Source organism: Homo sapiens, chromosome 6 (genome assembly GCF_000001405.40).
Source record: "Homo sapiens chromosome 6, GRCh38.p14 Primary Assembly".
In the NCBI taxonomy this organism is placed as follows: domain Eukaryota; kingdom Metazoa; phylum Chordata; class Mammalia; order Primates; family Hominidae; genus Homo; species Homo sapiens.
The window spans coordinates 30129200-30150630 of NC_000006.12; the positions used below are offsets into that span (position 1 = coordinate 30129200).

Sequence of the window (21431 nt, forward strand, 5' to 3'; positions counted from 1 at the left end):
CATTTTATTTCATGATGTATGTATAATTGTATATGCATATTTAATAAGTATATTCCTAAAGAAGAGAGCTTCCATTTTGACTAGACTTTGATGAGACTGAGTAATACGCTTATAATTTTCTACATCTAGGGGTTAAAAGGATTTATTGGCTTCACTGTCCACAGACTTCTGGTGCCTCATGTCACAGCACACATTCTTATTGTGACAGATCTCTGACCTTTCACTTTAGTCTCTGATGTCAGGTGAGTTATCTCAGTGGGTGGTGGTTCCTGTAAGCCACTTCTACACTGAGACGGGTAGCAATAACTTGACTATACATGAAAGTGCTTATGAACCACATATCCTAGTAATCTCAAACAATGTAATCCCAACTTAATTTCCCCTTAGCTAGAACCCCCACATGCTACCTGATACAAGAGAAACTGTGACAGAGGGAAGTTGACGTGGAAGGAGACAGTAATCCTAACCGTGGTTAAAATATGTTACTTTTGCAAATTTTACAAAACACTTAGCATGACCATATTGAACACATTGCTTGGAATTCCAGGGTCTTGGAAAGAACCAGTGCAAGGGATGAACTTAATGGCAGAGCTTCCTCTGCACACTTCACGACTGCAACAGGCTTGTCCCTGAAGTCTCTCCGCTGGGGTCCCACTTCAGGCTGACGTACTGTCTGTGTCACCGAACATCACTCTCTGCATTTGCTTACCCTTTTTGATTCTTCCCTGTGCCTCAGTTTGGAGTTGGAAGCTCATAAATTCCCCTATTATAGGGAAGTGGCTGATTGTGTAACCCTATCCTTTTGTTGAAATAGGTGTGTCCAGTTAAGTATTTACTGTAAACCAGCCCCTCATACGCATTCCACTGGGGGTGGATTCATTGCTTTCTACAACCTCGCCATATGTAATGTCCACACTGGTCCATCTGGCTGTGCTTCTCAAGATCAGCTGTTTTGTAGGACTTGAAATAAGGATTCCTTAACAACCTGGTGAATGCCTAATAGCCTCAATACATTTCAGGCTGTTTTAGTTTTGTTTATTTGGTTTTCGTGTTTTGTGGTGAGAACACTTAAAATCTACTCTCTCAGCAATTTTCAAGAACACAGTGTACCATTACTAACAAATCACCAGAAGGTACAACAGATCTCTTGAAGTATTCCTCCTTGAAGTAACTGAAACTTTGTATCCTTTGACCAACCCATCCCCATGCCCACCACGCCCAGACTTTGGTAACCACCATTGTATTAATACTGTCTGCTTCTACCAGTTAACCTTTTTACACTCTAAGTGAGGTCATGCTGTATTGGAGGTTGTTTCCTCCACGCGACTGGGTGGAATTCAGAGGTTCCTACCAATAACTCATTTCTTTCACCAGCAGCTCCCAAGGGCTCTGCTGAGTCCCCCATGCCTCCTGAATCTGAGATCTTGAACCCCTGCTCCTCCCCAACCCTGTTTTTCTGAGAACTGCCTCATCAAACATAGAGCATAGCAACTTTCCTGAGATTTCTCTAAATTTCCTCTTATTCAGGTCACTGTGCATGACAGATTGACTGCTTGATTCCTGGAAGTCTAGGGATAAAAAGTATTGAGTGCTGGTCTAAAGGACAGGTTTCAGCAGAGGACACAATCTCAGAGCAGACAACTTAAGTTTCAGTATTAGGCATTTCCGTTCTTAAACATTCCTTCACTATTTCTGCCCAAGACATTTCTCACTGGTAAACTTTCCTTGTTGGTTACCTGCCTTCTGCAGCCCTGCAGGCTCTGTCTCTCTCCTGGGCCACCCCTCTTCCTCTTACACAGTTTTATGCTCCCCTTCCCTTCTCTTTCCTTCCATCTTCAGTCTACATATTTCACGGCTAGCTTTCCACAGCCAGATGTTTCTTGCCCTGAGGAATTATGCTATCAGTTTTTAAGCCACCGTTTAAAAGACGGTTGCCAGTGCCCTAGAGTCTTGGCAACAATGCTCCACCTTCCGGAGGTGAAGCGAAATGGTGTCCTGTCTTGAAAGACAGCGCCACCTACTGTCCATCAAGAGACAGCTGCCGAAAACAGCTGAATGACCCTGTTCATTGCCTGTTCTGGGGAGGGTGGCAGATAATCCAGGCAAGAATAATTCGAAGGTACATTGAACTTGAGGTGGTGATGGAACACTTAAGAATGCACAGAAGTTTAAACTCAATAGGGATAGTAATACCAAGCTGGCATCGGGCCTCAGGGAGGTTACAGGATCTGCATAGTGCTAACAACTGTGCATCGGTAGAATGGGAATCTGAATCCGGACACTCCGCCTGTGAAGTCCACGTAGCTCCACCTCGCTGCACTAAGATAGAGTAGATCTCCTTTTATGGATGATCAAATAAGTGAGAGGGAACCCAGGAGCCAGTGGAGAGGAGAATTTTAAGGAGGGGACTGCTGATGATCTAAAGTTTGAGTCATCAGTTTGGATGTGAACTGAGAAAATACCGCTGGGATTTGAGTTTAGGACTTAGTTGGAGACCCTTAGAGAGTGGTTTAGGGTGCCCAGCCCTGGGATAGGCATAGGAGAGTATGGAAAGACAGAAAGACATAGTCCTATCCCTCATGAAGCTAAATGTGAGCCAAAGCCAGGGAAGTTGGCAAAAATCAAATGGTAATAAATGAGACGGTGATTTAGGAAAGAGAGATCCATGTAGAACCTGCAGGCCCCTCTGACACCTTTGTGAAAATTAGGATGGATCAGTTCACTTTCTTGGGGCCATTGCTGCCCTGAGCCAGAGCCCACAGCTTGGCAAGCAACCTCTGGGCTAGGTCTCAGCCCCCATTCATCAGAATGAAGACTGACTTGTTAGGAAAGTTTCATTCAGGAAACTGGGACTTGAGCTGGGCTTCCACTGATGTGAAGGGTTTGGAGCAGCTGTGTGAAAGAGGTAGGAGTTAGGTCTTCCCTGCTGGGAAATGTCAAAACAGAGGCAATTAAGAGTCATAAAGGAGAGAGAGAAGACAAAAATCACCTGACTCTTGGCTCCAGTATTTTTAAAGCATGAGAAATTAGATAAGATCACTCCTTTAAAACAGTTACTGAGCACCTAATATATTCAAGGAGCTATGCCGAATAGGCTGACTCAGGGAAATAAGGACCCTGACAGTTGCGCATTAGTTTGTAGTTTATGAAGCACATCCATTTCCAGCTATGACATTTTGTCCACTTTCTTGTAAAGGAGGCTGAAGTTGTGGCTGCCCCTGAACATGAAGCTACAAATCTCCACAATTAGGACCATAATCCAGATTCTTTGACTAGTCCAGAATTCCTTTCATTCTGACCATCCTCTTCTTAAACATTTTAAAATTTAGGTAATTGTTTAGATAGATGGCACATTTGCTGGCTCAAAATTTTAAAAACACAGGAAAAAGTCTCCCTCTTGCCCCTGGTTTCCACACATCTAGTTTCTCTCTCCAGAAGCAAATTTTACTAGTTCATTGATATATTCTTCCAGAGATGTTCTTTGCATAAAAAGCAAATAAGAATATTTATTCTTCCCCGATTTGTGCAAATAATAGCATATTATACACACTGTTCTGTACCTTGCTTTTAAATTTAATTTATTTTTATTTTTTAAAATCAGTAATCTATGTGTCCAAAGCATAAACCAGGCATGGGCATAGACCAGAAGCCAAGCTGGGATAAACAGGGGGTTGCTTTGTTCCTGTCTGATGTGAGATGGGCACCATTAAGCTTTTTTTTTTTTTTTTTTCGAGACAGAGTCTGGCTCTGTCATCCAGGCTGGAGTACAGTGGCGCAATCTCGGCTCACTGCAAGCTCCACCTCCCGGGTTCACGCCATTCTCCTACTTCAGCCTCCCGAGTAGCTGGGACTACAGGCACCCGCCACCATGCCCGGCTAATGAGACAGGGTTTCACCATGTTAGCCAGGATGGTCTCGATCTCCTGACCTCGTGATCCACCTGTCTCGGCCTCCCAAAGTGTTGGGATTACAGGCGTGAGCCACCATGCCTGGCCAAGCTTTTTTTTTTTTAATGTATCAATTTATGTTGGAGATTATTCCAATAGCAAAAGTTCCCTTCCACACCCCACCCCCTACTAATGGCTGCACAATGTTCTATTGTATGAATGTAGCTAGTTTATTTAGCTTAACTTCCGTTGATGAACATTTGTTTTTTTTCTAAAATTTGAAGCAAATGTTTCTAAAACATTGATGCAATAGGTATATGCATATATTATTTCACATATGCATGAATATATATGTAAAATTTCTAACATCAGAATTGCTGGCTCAAAGAGAATGTACATTTGTAATCTTGGAGGAAATTCTCAAATTCCTACTCCTCTAAAGGAGGAGTACTAATTGGCATTCCCATCAGCAGTGTATGGGAGTGCCAATTTCCTCACACACTTACCAACACTGTGTTACCAAATGTTTGGATTTCTGTCAATCTGATAGGAAAAATAGTATGTCAGTGTTATTTTAATTTGTATTTTCTTCATGAGATTGAGATTATCTTTTAATATGCTTTAGAGACATTTGGTATTTCTTTTTCTATGAAATGTCTGCTGAGATACCTCTGCCCAATTTTCTTCTTGGTAGTTGATAAATTCTTATTTGCAAGAGCTGTATATAAAAGGTAATTAGCCCTTTGATTTTGATGGCAGTTGTAAATATTTTTCTTCTTCCAATGGTATTTCGTCATTTGTCTCTTGACATTGCACTTACGGTTTTTTTTCCCCCATGCAGGTCTTTTTTAATGTGGCTGAATTTATCTTTCTTTCCTTTTATGGTTTCTACATTTGAAACATTCTCAAGCTACTGCTAGTTAAATACAGTGGATTTCTGCCTTCAAGTTGCTCAATAAACCAGTAGGAAAATCAAGAAAAGTACCTAAGTAACTAGTAGAAGTTACTATATAGTCAGTACTATAAGTTGGTACAAAGTGCTGTTTCTTCATCTGTCTATCCATACATCTAATTATCAATCTATCTTTCCATCTGTCCATTAATCCATCCATTTATCAAGCTTTTACTGAATCCTTTCTAAGAGCAAGAAAAGGTATATATAGAGAGATGACATTTTATGGTAATGAAGCCCATGGGCTGGGATAAGAGACACCCAGATCTGAATCCCAGCTCTATGTTTACACCACTGTGGCCTTGGGCAGGTTACTTAATCTGTCCACATTTTTGTTTCTTATACTATTTCATGAGATACGACAGGAACGTAGATTGTGGAGGGGTCAAGGATTGAAGGTTAAAAAACAGACATTGTCGGAAATGCCTTAGGAAGAGAACTATAAGTGAGTACAATGCCTACATTTATAATTTCAGGTGGTGAAATCTGAATCCTGACAAGGTCAAGAGAGTGGCCACTAGGGTGGGTGGCAAAAGCAAAGGTCATTGGATGTGAGCAGGACAAGAACTGAAAGGCCTTGGTGTTAAATGATCATGTACATAGTCTTTGAAATCACCAGGATCATGGTAATTTCACAGCCAGATGAAGGGCAAGTTCTGGGAGGATCCTGAGCACAGGAGCTTCTGTCCCCGGTGGAGTGTGGGATGTGCCACCCTCCCAGCATGTGGATGCACTCACCAACCTGGAATCTCTCCAAACCTCTTTGTTCAGGATCTTACAGAGGTTCCATTATTTAGGTATGATTGATCAAATCACTGGCTGTTGGTGATTAACTCAGTCCCTGGGCTCCTCTCCCCTCCCCAGAGGTCAGAGGTGAGACTGAAAGTTCCAACCAGCCAGGCGTGGTGGTTCACGCCTGTAATCCCAGCATTTTGGGAGGCCAAGGCAGGCAGGTAACCTGAGGTCAGGAGTTCGAGACCAGCCTGGCCAACATGGTGAAACCCCGTCTCTACTAAAAATACAAAATATTAGCTGGGCATGGTGGTGTGCACCTGTAATCCCAGCTACTCGGGAGGCTGAGGCAGGAGATTCGCTGGAACCTGGGAGGCAGAGGTTGCAGTGAGCTGAGATAGTGCCGTTGCTCTCCAGCTTGGGCAACAAGAGTGAAACTCTGTCTCAAAAAAAAAAAAAAAAAAAGAAAGAAAGAAAGAAAGATCCCACCCTCTAATCACATGGTTCTTCTGCCAACCAGCCCCCATTCTTCCTCCAAGAGTCACCTCATTAGCATAAACCCTGGTATGGTTGAAAAGGGCTTATTATGAATAATAAAAGATACACTCATCAGAACATAACCATGTGGTAAGTTGAGGTGCATCAGGAATTAAGATGATTCAACTTAAAATTTTTGACTTTATGATGGGTTTACTGGGGTATTGAGTACACTTTCACCTTACAATATTTCTGACTTCAGTGAATTCACTGGGACGTAACCCCATCATAAGTTAAGGATCATCTGTTCAAGGGTTTTAGGAGCTCTGTGCCAAGACTAATTATATATATATCTCACAAGATCACACAACCCACAGCAAACAGTGGCAAAGTGGGATTGAGGGAGGAGGCTCTGAAATGAGGTTTTCAACAAGCGTCTTGGACCCTTAGAAGTTTCAAGTGACAGCCCTTATTAGTGGCACCCCTTAGGGGCTCCCTCAAACTCAATGCCAAGACTAGCCTGACTGGAGGGAACTTAGACAATGGAGTGGGCATTTGATGTTCCAGCATCTTGAGTGGGTGCCATTATTCTGTGACACCTGGATCCTGGGGTTCCATAAGCTGGGGTTCTAGGATGTCCATTCTTAGTTGAGTCTCATTTCCTGTCATATCGACGTCAAAGGCCCAAGACCTTCCTCCTCCCCTTGAGCAAACAAGCCACGCCCTGCACCAAAGTCCATCTCACCTTCCAGCTACCCTAGGTAATTTTCCTGGTAATTCAGTGTTTCTAGGAAAGCATGAGTCTTTCCACCCCCCGCCCTGAGATTTACTGACATATGAACACATATGATTGGCATGATATAAGAACCACTCATCTGCTGGCCATCTCTCCAGGTCTGGAGCCAGAGAAGATGATCTGAAATTGTAGCAGGAGAAATTGAGGTAGGATACTAAGAAAGCTTTTCAGGAGTGGGGCTAGGCAAGAGGTGCAGCATGAGGGAATAAGAGTGAATCCTCAGTATCTAAGGGAGGTGGCAGGTGGCGGGGGACTTCTTTCTTTGGGTCATCTTTGGTGGTGATTTGACAGGAAGGAACAAAGTGGCTTCAAACATTATACAAGTCTCTAGTCTGTTCTGTGTCCTGTTTTCTTTCTCATTCTTTCAGTGTGGAATCTATATGACCCTGGGAGGGATGTTGGTTGGAAGAATGACCAGCTGATGGAGATGCTGCTGTAATTATTGGTGGTAATAATGGGCAGCAGTGAGCCACCCGGTGTGACAGTGTAGGAGAAAACAGTCCAAACTCCTGCCAAACTCTCTCTACTGATGGCAAATCAGAGGAGACTCAAATTGTAAGTTTATAGTGGTCTGGCTTTTGGCCATGACAATGACACCTTGCCCTTTTAATTTGGGGCCCGTGCAAATATTCACTGAAAGCTGTCAAGAGGAAAACAGAATTGGTTATTGAATCACTTGCTTCCTCTAGGTGTATGAAAAATAATTTCAAGTTTAACAAACACAAGGAAACCGCAGGGTCCATGTCAAAGCTGATGAGCTATTTCTGAAACTCGTGCAGAATTGTGGTTTGTGTGGTCTATGTCACGGCACCCTTGAGGGAGAGTGGGCAATTGCCTGAACTTGGAGGCTGTGTCCTGTCCCCAGGCTGCTCCAGGGCTGCCTCCTTCCGACTGGGCCTTCTTATCTGGGACTGTTGAGGGCAACAGGCCTTCCGAAGACCAGTGAAGAAGGAGGCCCTGCAAACAGGAGGCTGACAGGGTAGGAACGAGGCCATGATCCCTTTGCAGAAGGACAACCAGGAGGAGGGTGTCTGCCCCATCTGCCAGGAGAGCCTGAAGGAGGCCGTGAGCACCAACTGCGGACATCTCTTCTGTCGAGTGTGCCTGACACAGCATGTGGAGAAGGCCTCAGCCTCTGGGGTCTTCTGCTGCCCCCTCTGCCGGAAGCCCTGTTCTGAGGAGGTGCTAGGGACAGGCTATATCTGCCCCAACCACCAGAAGAGGGTGTGCAGGTTCTGTGAGGAGAGCAGACTTCTTCTATGTGTGGAATGCCTGGTGTCCCCTGAACACATGTCTCATCATGAACTGACCATTGAAAATGCCCTCAGCCACTACAAGGTAAGCCTGGGTCACCGCAGCCAGGCCCTGCCTCCACCTCGCTGAGGTGCTGCATCCTACATGTTCATCATGCCTGGCACCTCAGAGTAGCTCAACAATGGACATCTCTCTTTGTTTCTTCTGCTTCATCCTGTTTTGGACCCTTGTCTTGCTTTTCTGTGTATATTTTGAGGCTGATGTTTCCATGCATTAATGTGAGTCTGTCTAAAAGAGGATATTGTCAGTGTGATGTTAGAGTCCCAGTCTGCTCATCTGTAGAATAGAGTAATTGGACTAACTAATGCAAAACCCTTTCAGGACTAAAACTGTGTGAACTCCTGGTTGATAGTACTAGAAACTTGGCTAGAAATGTAATCAGGTTTTATATACACTAGTAATTATCCTGCAAATATATTAAAACCTGAAAGTTACTACATAATTTTTTCTCTCTTTTTCTTCCTTCTGCATTTGTCTTATCTTTCCTTTTCCTTTCTTTGCTATGGCAATTATTTTATCTTATTCTGTTAAATTTTCTATCACAAAAGTTACATGCTGTAGGTAATAAATTCAGAAAGCACTGAAAGGTATAAAGTCAAGACTAAAAATTTGTCTTCCTTTCTCCCTCCATTCATAGTCCTCAGAGGTAACCATTGTTTGATTTTTGTACATCCTTCCAAAAAATGTGTGTGCTTATGAATGCACTCTTACACACACACACACACACACACACCCTCAAAGGATTCTCTCTATATTTTTTTCTGTAACTCATTTTTGTTATCTAAAAGTGTGGCTTGAACATTTTCTCATCAGCATGTATAGATCTTCTGAATTATTTTCAAGAACTGTGTGGTATTAAATTCTATGAATGTACCATAAATTGGCAGACATTGGGTCATTTCCAAGCTATTGTTTTGTTTTAAGATTACACAGAACGTTCTAATGAATATCCTTCAACATATATATTGGAGGACCTAGAATATCCAAGATATATTTTGGTGAGAGCATAAGGTAGAAATCTAACTTTAGTTTTTCCAAGTTATAATCAATTTGTCCTATCACCATTTGTTGAATGATTCATATAGTTTCCCCATTGATTTGAATGCCAATGTCATAATATACCATATATGCATATTTTCTTGCATACTGCCTTGATTCTTTGTGCTGTTCTATTCTGTCTATGCTTGCCTATAAGCCAAGGTATTTTAGAGATTTTATCCTTACCATATATTTTAATGTCAGGTATTTTGATAGAATCCTCACAATACTCTTATTTTTCAGAATTCGTGCAGATATTTGTATATCTTTATTTTGCCAATTAGCTTTGGAATTATTTTTATCAACCTTTCCCCTGACCCTAATCCAGTTAGTATTTGACTGGACAATTGACAATATTTTCACATGGCATCCTTCTATCCAATAGTGAAGGCTGAACTTCCAAAGCTGAGGTAGCTTTGAGATACTTGACTTTTGGAGAACATGTTATGATACAGAATGAGAAAGTGGGGAGTCCAGATTAAAAGTGACTACAGAAAGGTAGAGAAATAATTGAAAAAGCCAGAGGCAAAGTTCTATTTGGTTCTAACATCATTCCCTCCAGGTGCAATGTCCACAGGAGAGTGGGGAGGGATTCCTCACCTGCCGATGAAGCAGCATAAGATGGAGAAATTTATTTCCTCACTAAATGATTTTTTCAGGTCTGTCCTTTGTGTTAGATGTCATGCTAGGCATTGTAGAAAGTACAAAGATGATTCATAATTCTTGTTTCAAATCTGTCTTTAAATAATGACAAGAAAGCTAAAACAAATAAATAACGATGACACTTGTTCATTAAGTAAAAACTTAGTAAGTTCCTGCTGTGTGTGAGAAACTGCAGCATGTGCTAGGAATCAATGAAGACAGATGCCATTCCTTCTGCCAGGAGTTTGCAGTGTAGTAAGGGAGACACAAATAAGTAATCAAAGAACTGTAACTTTTTTTTCTTTTTTTTTTTTTTTTTTTTTTGAGATGGAGTCTCATTCTGTCACCCAAGCTGGAGAGCAGTGGCATGATCTCGGCTCACTGCAACCTCCGTCTCCCAGGTTCAAGCAATTCTTTGCCTCAGCCTCCCGAGTAGCTGGGATTACAGGCACCCACCACCAGGCCTAGCTAATTTTTGTATTTTTAGTAGAAACAGGGTTTCACCATCTTGGCCAGGCTGGTCTTGAACTCCTGACCTCATGATCCATCTGCGCTGGCCTCCCAAAAGAACTGTAACTTTTTATTAGTTAGGAAGAAAATAAACAAGGGTCTGGGATGAACAGTAATGGGTGGCCCATGTCCATTTGGTCAGTGAGGGCCTCATAGAGGAAGTGACCTTGAAGCTGAGGGCTGGCAGAAGAGAAATCAACCTGCAAAGACAGGGGGTAGGGAGTGCATACAGATGCCCACACCTGAGAAGTCTTGTTATATTTGAAGAATTTATCATTAGAGTTTGAATCGACAGGACTTACTGAGAGATTAGAAGTGGGTTCTTTGTAAGAAAAAAACAACCCCATCAAAAAGTGGGCAAAGGATATGAACAGACGCTTCTCAAAAGAAGACATTTATGCAACCAACAGACATATGAAAAAATGCTCATCATCACTGGTCTTTAGAGAAATGCAAATCAAAACCACAATGAGATACCATCTCTGCCAGTTAGAATGGCAATCATTAAAAAGTCAGTAAACAACAGATTCTGGAGACGAAGTGGAGAAATAGGAACGCTTTTACACTGTTGGTGGGAGTGTAAATTAGTTCAACCATTGTGGAAGACAGTGTGGTGATTCCTCAAGGATCTAAAACCAGAAATACCATTTGACCCAGCAATCCCATTACTGGGTATATACCCAAAGGATTATAAATCATTCTACTATAAAGACACATGCACACGTATGTTTATTGTGGCATGGTTCACAATAGCAAAGACTTGGAACCAACCCAAATGCCCATCAACGATAGACTGGATAAAGAAAATATGGCACATATACACCATGGAATACTATGCAGCCATAAAAACAGATGAGTTCACGTCCTTTACAGGGACGTGGATGAAGATGGAAACCATCATTCTCAGCAAACTAACACAAGATCAGAAAACCAAACACCACATGTTCTCACTCGTAAGTGAGAGTTGAACAATGAGAACACGTGGACACAGGGAGGGGAATATCACACACCAGGGCCTGTGAGGGGATGGGGGGTAGGGGAGGGATAGCATTAGGAGAAATACCTAACGTGGATGACGGTTTGATGGGTGCAGCAAACCACCATGGCACGTGTATACCTATGTAACAAACCTGCATGTTCTGTCCATGTGCCCCAGAACTTAAAGTATATATATTTTAAAAAGTGGGTTGAAGGAAGGAGGAAGGTCAAAGATGACTTCATGAGTTTCTGGTTTGAGAAACTGAATAGATGATGTGAAAGATAATAACTTGGTAGAACAGGTTTGAATGCAACACCAAGAGTTTCATTTAAGACAAGTTGAGTCCAAGTTGAGACACATCAAAATAGGATCTTACATACGCAGCTGGATCACAAATTTAGATCTCCAGAGTCTTATTCCTAGAACCTAGAACAAAGATCCATCCAGGCAAAGACAATATTTAAATCCAAGAAAAGCGGGCACGGTGGCTCACACCTGTAGTCCCAGCACTTTGGGAGGCCAAAGTGGGAGGATCGCTTGAGCCCAGGAGTTCAAGACCAGCTTAGGCAACACAGTGAGATACTATCTCTAGAACAACAACAGCAACAACAAAGTGAAATTAACAGGATTTAAAAAAAAGAACGTGACAATTTGGGGCTGGGTGCAGTGGCTCACGCCTGTGGTCCCAGCTACTTGGAAGGTTGAGGTGGGAGGATTGCTTGAGCCCAAGAGAGTGAGGCTGGAGTGAGCTGTGATTGTGCCACTGCACTGCAGCCAGGAAGACAGAGCAAGACCCTGTCTCAAACAAAGAAACAAACAACCAAGAAACCAAGGAAACTGATGTAATTGCCTCAAAAGAGGCTAGACAGAAAAAGAAGTTTTGGGGTAAGGTTCTGGGAAAGGCCGTCATTTAGATGTAGGCAGAGGAGGACCCAGCAAAGGAGACAGGATGAGTTGCCAGAAAGGCAGGAGAAAAACAAGGGGAATGGTGCCCCAGCTGCTAAGAGAGAAGGGTATTTTAAGAGATTATAATAGATTGCATTGAACAATGCTAACACTTCAGTAAGATGGTGGCAGAGGCATGAGAGCTGAGTTGGGAGGAGGCACACTTCTTCCATAGTAATAACAGGGAACAAGAGAAGGTGTCTGCAAGCCTACATAGTTTTGCAGTTTTGGAAATCCAGGTTTTGTTCTGGTTTTTATTTTCTCATAATATTTGAGGAAGGAACATCAGCAGTATGGGTGGGATCAGGATGGATGTGAAAGGTTTGAAAAGAAACAAGATGGTGTGATGCAGTGTGGGAGAGCGCTTACAAGAGAAACTATGTAGGGTTGGCAGACAGTATGTAGCACCAATTTGAGGTCTGAAATGTTTAACATGTTTCAGGAGGCTGCCTGAGGACAGACAGCAAACAAGAAGGTGATGGTACATTTTACCATGGATAAGGAGTTGTCTGAAAAGTAACACAGAGAGGGAGGGTAAGGGAGTTGAGTATATTTCTGAAGAAGTGATTATAATGGTGGACCTTATGTGTACTCATGGATATTGACAGCGTAATTTTGAAATTAAGGAGGGTTTTTTTTTACTGATTTTTTCACCATATCTCTATTTATTTGAATTAAACTTTGTAGTTAAGTATTGTAAATTTTGTTCTTTTAAAAGAATCATATAATCCCTGACTGTACTCTAAAAAGACCGAAAAATTTATAAAATCTACAAATTCTTATTTGTATACCTGTTTCCTCACTGACCAGTCAATGTCAGTGTCAATCACTTTAATGTATTTTGCTGGTTTAGTAAGTGTGTGACAGTGATGTACGTTGTTTTACTTTGCTTGATTATGAATGCTAGTAGTGGTGAGGCTTTTATCCATGAAGACTCGCTGTCTGCATTTTCCCCTAGAATCAGGGCATAAATTCTACATGATTGCATCAAAATAGTTTATCTTTTGGATAATGAGCTCCATTAGTTGTGTTTGTTTAACCTACATTTTTTTATTCTGTTATTTCTTCTTAATTATATTTTTGGGCAACTTTTTAGAAATTTGCATTTAAATTGGCTCTATTCTTTTTTATAATATAATCTCCATGTCTTAAATACACAGAAATTTGTTTAATATGAGTGTGCTGCTCTGTTTTATTTTTAAAGGTTTATTAATTCCTGGCTTACTTGGAATTTCATATAGTATGTTGTGTGAAGGATGACTCCACGTTAATTTTCCTTTATTCTGGTATCCAGTTGTTCCCAAAATATTTATATAACAGTGAGTCCTTTCCACATTTACGTGTTGTTTCTCGCTTGACATCAATTAAGTTCTCATGATGGGCTGTTTTTTTTTTACTCTAGTCCATTGATTATTCTTTCTGTTATATAGTTTTGACAACATGTTACTTTATGGTTTATTTTTAAATCTAGCAGCATTTTTGCCATTTAATAATTTTATTACCTGATATTTTTGCTGTCTTTTAAGATGAGTGCTTTTTTACAATGTTTCTAAATTTCATAGATCATTCCATAAGATTTTAATGGTTATTGCATTAAATTTGTTGATTACTAAGAATCATGACTTTTGGGGGTTTAGTTAGTCTTCTCAACCAGTACCAAGATACATCACTAACGGCTTTCCACTATGTATCTGAATCAGATATTAAATTGTCTTTACTTAAACCTCATGTGCCCTGACTCTATTGAGGGTAGCTATGTATTTTACAACACTATTTTTTTTGACAATTTTTACTTGTAGATTCAAATGAGATTCTTTGCTGAGCTCATGTATTTACCATACATTTTTAAAAATTTTCTGACATTTTCTAGATCATAATTGTGTGAGTGATGTTGTTTTTAATTCATATTTTTGGACACAGTTCTGTAAGGAGCATGCATTTTGAAAGCTGTTAATTTTTCTTTTTTTTTTTTTTTTTCAGTGTCAGGGATAGGTACTTTTTGTCTGTTAACCACTTTTCTTTTGTACATTGTGTTAGCAAGTTGTTTAAGAACAAATTTAATGCCCTTTTTTGTCAGATTTTAAAAATTTAATATGATTTAACCTGAATGACAGAATTTTAAAATATTCATTTAGACAAGACAGGTCTTCGACTATTTTCTAGATTTCAACTTGTCTTTTTTTCTCTGAGGAATATTTTGGTAGGTGAAAGTGTATAGAATTTAGCTTTTCAATTCTAATGAGTGTCTTATTTATATTATATGCACCCATTAAATACCTTTATGCAAAAATTGGTGAAAAAGTACTTTTTAGAAACAGAGGACTTTACCTTACTCATTTTGAATATTGTAAACAATATGACAGTATTATCTTCAGTCATTCTATGCCTTTATCTTTATTACTGTTATCTTTGCCTTCTTTTTTTCATTTACACAGTGTCTGTAGTTGGCTTTATTAAATTTTAAACTGCCAGATGATAGGACTGTGGCTTTTTGAACTGGACCTTAATAGGCCTGACTTTGACAGGCAGAAAAATAAAGCACTCCTGACAGAGAGAAGTAAAAGGCCATGAGGAGGTGTGGCTGCACGGGTGTGTTTGGGAAGCAGAGAGCAATGTTGTGTGCTGGTGAAGAGAGTTCAGTGAGCAGAGAGAGAATCCCGGACAATGTCAGTTGGGGCTGGGTCCTGGGGCACCTTGGATGCTGGGTGAAGGAGTTTGGGCTTATCTTTGTTGCTGAGAAGCCATTTTGAAGGGAGGACTAACATCAACAAAGGTGAAATGTGACAGATTTCAAGCTGAATGGCAGGCAGAATGGCAGTCCCAATGTCAGAAACATGAAGGTCAAGAGGAGTGGACTGCAGAAGAGCTTGGGGAACTGGGCAGCATGTTTGATTCTACCATATTGATTTTGAGCTGCCAACAGGGCAGTAGGCAGCACTTAGCTCTCACTTGGAAGCATGAGATGGATTGCTAGGAAAAAAGATTTGGTTTTGGAATTCTAAGATCTGAAGGCTCCAGAAAGGAAAGCTAAGGACATAGTCTGAGATAGAAAAGGGTTGAGGAGCCAACTTCAAGGCTCCTTTTTACAGAAAAAAATGAAGAGGCAAAGAAGCAGTGGCAGAAGGCACAGGTCTAGGAAGGATGGGGTGGAGAGGAGGTACAGAAAGGCACCTGCGGATTTCATGGCTGGAGATCTCAGGTGACTTTGGAGAGAGAGGCTTTAAAGGAGTGATGAGAAACAAGGCGGCTGGCTGAGGAATGACGACAGTGAGGAGGTGAAGACAGCAACACCAAACAACTTGACTGTGAGGGCAGCAAGTGAGTAGATGCAAGCGGTGAAGGCTGTTTGTGCTTTTCAGGACATGAACTCTTGTGCTCGCACAAACAGTTCCACACCAGCCTGCCACCTTCTTCAGCGAGACTCATGAGCGACATCCATGATGCCCATTTATTACTTCCCACTCCTATGACTTTTTTATTTCGTCTCTGCTGGGAAATGCCTGCAGGAAACACCCAGTGACGTGACACGTTTTTAGTAACTTTGTGGTGACATCACTGTCTTCTCTGCTTACTGCAGCTTTCTGTTCACCAAATGCCCTTGCTGACCCCTCACACACACAGTCCTTTGACCTTGATTTCACCAGGAAATTCTCAGGCTGGAAAGAACTTTCAGTTGTCTTCACCATCCCCTGACTTCTACCTGTACATCTCCAAAATCTCCTCAAAAAAGATTAAAAAAAAAAAATCTGAAGTGGGAAAGATTTAGTGAAACACACACTTTTCAGCTAATAGCACATCCTGATCTTTAGTTCACAAATCTCTTCTCGTTTTGTTTTCTATTTTATCATTCACCCTCCAACTGCCCCCCGAACCATGGGCAGCCATTTAAAGCATTTGTTGTTATTTTTGCTTCTCTTATAGGTCATCAAAAACCTGAAAGCAAAATTTTTTTAGAAACTCAAATCATTCTTTAACTCCATAGCTTCAAGGACACAGCGACACATCCAGATGCTGATTTAAGATTGAGAGAGAAGGCACTGCCTACCTGGGCTATGAGTTTGCACCTAGTAAAGGGCTCTATCTTGTCACTCATCCCAGTGAGGACCAGGCAGCAGAGGTAGCAGAGGGTTGCCATTTCCTCTTTAAGGCAATTCCCTCCAGACTGGCTCCATGTGTTACTGTAAAATAGTAAGAAGTGCTAGAAGACTGTCATATAACTTTTGTATGTTGAGAGAAAGCACCCTGAAGTCAAGTAGAAATGGTTCTGTTGCTATCTATTATTTTTTCTGTACTTCTAAGACTGTAAAAAAATTACCCATTACTATTTCCCCCCATCATTATCCAATAAATAAACTCTCAAGTCCCTTACTCCAACCATGATGCTCTAAAAGCATTTCTTTTTAGGCAGAATTTTACATTAGTTGCATTCTGGGATCAGGCCCCCTACCGTGTTCCATTGACTCCTCCCAGTGGGTGCCCCCCTCACTCCCAGTCTGACAAGCAGGTGTGTCTGTCTCTTTAGGAACGACTCAATCGCCGGAGCAGGAAGCTCAGAAAGGACATTGCAGAACTTCAGCGGCTCAAGGCTCAGCAGGAGAAGAAACTGCAGGCTCTGCAGGTGGGTTTTTCGGGTTCCTGGGAAGGACTCCCTGGAGTGTTCTCAGGAGCCCTTACTTAACTATTCTGGACATCTGTCTGTCCCTGGAACAGCCTGATGTGGGCAGATGGTCGTGGAGGCTGAAAACCCGGGTGTTGGCCTTGGCGTCAAAGTTTGCTGGTTGAGTGACCTACGCAAGTTAAGCCCTCTGATCTTTATGTGACTTACATGTTAAATGAGAACCAGTCCTGCTCTGCCTGGATCACAGTAGGGATCAAAGGAGACCAGTGTCTCGTCAACTGAAAATTACTACACAAGCCATAGGCCTCTGTTTCTTTTTATTTTATTTTATTTTTTTTTTGAGATGGAGCCTTGCTCTGTCGCCCAGGCTGGAGTGCAGTGGCACGAACTCCGCTCACTGCAAGCTCCGCCTCCCGGGTTCACGCCATTCTCCTGCCTCAGCCTCCCGAGTACTGGGACTACAGGCACTTGCCACCACGCCCAGCTAATTTTTTCTATATTTTAGTAGAGATGGGGTTTCACCATGTTAGCCAGGATGGTCTCGATCTCCTGACCTCGTGATCCGCCCGCCTTGGCCTCCCAAAGTGCTGGGATTACAGGTGTGAGCCACCGTGCCCGGCCGCCATAGGCCTCCATTTCTGTCTCTGACAGTCTACCTTTCTATTCCTCTTGGTCACATGGCATCTGTAGATATTCAGAGAGTGAGGTGGAAAGGTGAGGTGTCCCTGCCTTTATGAGAATCAAAGCTGCTTCTGCTATACCTGTGACACACAGAGGCAACACCATGAGGGCAAGAGGACTGAGGAATCAGCATTCCTGCTCAGACATTCAGAGACTGTGAAGGGCCAGGAGGGAGCCACCTGACACTGAGTCTTAGGGAGCCCCTTTCCTGTAGTTTCAGGTAGACCACGGGAACCACAGGCTGGAGGCTGGGCCGGAGAGCCAGCACCAAACCAGGGAACAGCTGGGTGCCCTCCCTCAGCAGTGGCTGGGCCAGCTGGAGCACATGCCAGCAGAAGCGGCCAGAATCCTTGACATCTCCAGGGCAGTAACACAGCTCAGAAGCCTGGTCATTGATCTGGAAAGGACGGCCAAGGAATTAGACACCAACACACTGAAGGTGCATACCCTGAGGCCTTCCCCAAGGGCTGGGATTCTCCCCGATAGGAGGCAGCCCATCTGCATCACCCTTCTGGGAGGTGTAAGAGGGAGGGGCCTGTGTGATATGTGGTGACTTGTGGTAGATGTGGCTTGTTCCAGGCTACAGAGTGCTGCTGCAGCAGAATGGGCACAGAAGAGGGGTGTTGCTATGTTCCCCCAGTTCTCAAGGTGGCACCCCAGAGTGGCCTCCAAGAGTGAATTGGGAAAGGAATTTGGAGGTGATAGGAACCTGAGAACCAATTATGATTCTCACTTTTTCTCTCTCCTAGAATGCTGGTGACTTACTGAACAGGTACGAGCTGTCCCTTCTTCTTTCCCACATGTGCATATAAACCCACACAACACAGACATGCACAGAGGTCAAGGAGACCCACTGCTCCGTTAGCTTTTGTATCTTGATGCTACATGGCCAATGGAAGAGCCAATGGAATATATGAATACATATTAATCTATGAAAGATTTCTTTGTTTCTAGGAGTGCTCCACAGAAATTAGAGGTTATTTATCCCCAGTTGGAGAAAGGAGTCAGTGAATTGCTTCTTCAGCCCCCTCAGAAGCTCTGACCTGTTCATCCCTGGGACACCTCACTTCAGGCTCACCTCAGCCTCCTCTCTCTCCTTCCTCCAACCTGTCCAGGCCCCCACTGGGTCTACCCAGTGCATCTTCGGGCCTGCCAGCTCCTGAACATGTCACCATTTCTTCATGTCCACAGTCATCACCTGATGCCTGACCCTCTGACTCTTGGACGATAGCCAGCCTCCTTCCAGGACAGGCTCATGCTTGGGGCTGCCACTGTGGAGGTCGGGGCCCATGGTCTCCAGGAGCATTTGTGAAATCTCCATTTTGCCTGTAAACTGATGGTAGTGCCCATCTCTCACAATCTCATTCAAATAGGATCCTCCAGGCCTCTGAATGGCCCGAGCTCATCAGCAGTGACACCACCTCACATGTGGAGCCCAGCTGAGTTCCTGCAGTACTTGTTGTCTGTACCACTCACCTGGCACTTATTTATTATTGTTGTGGAAGACAGACTCAAAGACAGCCTCCCTTCATGATCCTCACCTCTTGGAATTCATGCCCTTGTTTGGTCCCCTCCCCTTGAGTGTAAGTGGGATCTGTGACTTGCTTCTAATGAATGGAATAAGGCAAAGGTGATAGGGTGTCACTCTGGCAACTGTGTTGCATTGTATAGAACTCCTCCTTGCTGGCCCACCCTTTTAGAGCCCCTCCTAGGAGCCAAGAGCAGCTTCCAGCCAACAACAAGCAGAGGCCCTCAGTCTTGTGGCTGCAAGAACCTGAATTCTGCCAACAACCCGAGTGAGCTTGGAAGCAGATTCTTCCCCAACTGAGCCGGATAAGAACCTAGTCCAGCCAACACCTTGATTATAGTCTTGTGAGTACCTAAGCTGAGGACCCAGTGAAGCTGTGCCAAAATTTCCCACCCACAGAAACAGTGTGACAATAAATGTGTGTGTGTTTTTTTGTTTTCTGTTTTCGTTTTTGAGATGGAGTCTCACTCTGTTGCCCAGGCTGGAATGCGGTGGTGTGATGTCGGCTCACTGTAACCTCTGTCTCCTAGGTTCAAGCAATTCTCCTGCCTCAGCCTCCCTAATAGCTAGGGATTATAGGCGCCCGCCACCACACCCGGCTAATTTTTTGTGTTTTTAGTAGAGACAGGGTTTAACCATGTTGGCCAGGCTGGCCTTGAACTTCTGACCTCAGGTGATCAGCCCACCTTGGCCTCCCAAAATGCTGGGATTACAGGTGTGAGCCACCGCGCCTGGCCATGTGTTGTTATAAGGCAGTAAATTTGTGGTAATTTTTGTGGAGTAATGGATAATGAATACAATTGTATATTAGTCATTTTTGTATAAGCCTCACTTCTTTGGGTGAGCAGGGATCATATTCTGTCTGTGTCCTCATGTCTAGAACAGTGTCTGGCTCATAGCTGGTGTCCAGTAAAATTTTAAATGTATGTATAAGTGAACTAATAAGAAAGCATAAGGAAGGGCTCTTCTCAATCCTCTGATTAAAAAGAGCCATCAATTACCTTATAATCAGTATTTATTGAGCCTTTGCCAAAGTAGTCAATACCATACTGAGAGGTATAAGGAATAAAACATGGCCACAATTATAAAACAAGCCACGTGGTGGTGCAAAGAGTGAAAACTACAGGGTCAGACTTGAGTTTAGGTCTCGGTCCTGACACCTAATGCCTCTGTAACCTTGGGCAAATTACTTAGCCTCTCTGAACCTCTGTACTCCCCCCTCTAAAATAAGGGTTATGGTACCTGTGGCCTGGGATTGTTGTCAAAATTAAATACATGCTGAGTGTCTGCTAAAGTGTCTAAAACGTAAACATTCAAATATGTTCATTTTATCTTTTTTTTTTTTTTGGTGTATTCTGGCTTTATTGTTATTTTTTTTTAATTATACTTTAAGTTCTAGGGTACATGTGCACAATGTGCAGGTTTGTTACATATGTATACATGTGCCATGTTGGTGTGCTGCACCCATTAACTTGTCATTTACATTGGGTATTTCTCCTAATGCTATCCCTCCCCCCTCCCCCCACCCCAAAACAGGCCCTGGTGTGTGATGTTCCCCACCCTGTGTCCAAGTGATCTCATTGTTCAATTCCCACCAATGAGTGAGAACATGCGGTGTTTGGTTTTCTGTCCTTGCGATAGTTTGCTGAGAATGATGGTTTCCAGCTTCAACCATGTCCCTAAAAAGGACATGAACTCATCCTTTTTCATTTCATCTTTTTTTAAAAAAACCACTTCCCCTTTTGAAATGAAATATGGAATGATAAAAAAATTTTAAATAAATTCCACTTCACCATCCAGAAGTTTATAATTTAGCTGTGGAACTATGACTAAACAGCTACAGAATAAGAAGAGAGCGTGTAACTGCACTGAATTAGGTATCACAGAGGCTAAGTGCCCTGGGAATTCAGAGGAAAGAAACAGCGAGCCTGGGAAAGTCAGGGTAGGTTTTGTGGGGGAGGTGGGGATTGGACAAGTGGGAGAGGAAGGTGAGAACATTCTAGGTCACAATAACCACATGAATGAAAGCATAGAGGTAGGAAAAAGCCACGGTACCTTTGTAGGAGTGTGAGGAAACCAACCTGGTTAGGCTGGAATGTTCAGGAATGGGGAAGACGAGAAGTCAACAGGCTAAATGGATGACACCAAGACATAGTGAGGTTTCTGAGTCAGGAATGAAGGGAGAAGTGGTGTTTAATGAAAGCCAGTCTGGATCGTTTGCACAAGAAGGACTGGGACAGAGAGTTGGGGGCTGGAAGGAGAGGGGAGGAGAAAGAGCCTAGTGCAGATGTTCAGAAAAAAGGTATAGTTATTTGGCAAGAAGCTGCAGATC

At 42.7% G+C, this 21431-nt stretch overlaps 1 protein-coding gene and 1 non-coding gene across 5 annotated transcripts; one reads left to right on the forward strand and one right to left on the reverse strand.

Moving 5' to 3' along the window:
- LOC124900227 (small nucleolar RNA SNORA48) lies at positions 3606-3743 on the reverse strand. The gene has a single exon (XR_007059954.1). It is a non-coding gene; the product is annotated as a small nucleolar RNA SNORA48 (small nucleolar RNA).
- TRIM40 (tripartite motif containing 40) lies at positions 6941-19536 on the forward strand. 4 transcript variants are annotated; one of them, XM_011514306.2, is made up of 7 exons: positions 6941-6990; positions 7213-7399; positions 7534-8182; positions 16795-16890; positions 17786-18010; positions 18321-18343; positions 18526-19529. In XM_011514306.2, exons 3-7 carry the CDS (start codon positions 7838-7840, stop codon positions 18611-18613), a joined length of 777 nt encoding a protein of 258 aa, XP_011512608.1. In that variant the 5' UTR covers positions 6941-6990; positions 7213-7399; positions 7534-7837; the 3' UTR covers positions 18614-19529. The 4 variants fall into 4 exon arrangements, with proteins under 4 accessions (XP_011512608.1, NP_001273562.1, XP_011512611.1 ...); NM_001286633.2 differs by lacking the exon at positions 7213-7399; XM_011514309.2 differs by lacking the exon at positions 18321-18343 and having other exon boundaries at positions 7213-8182.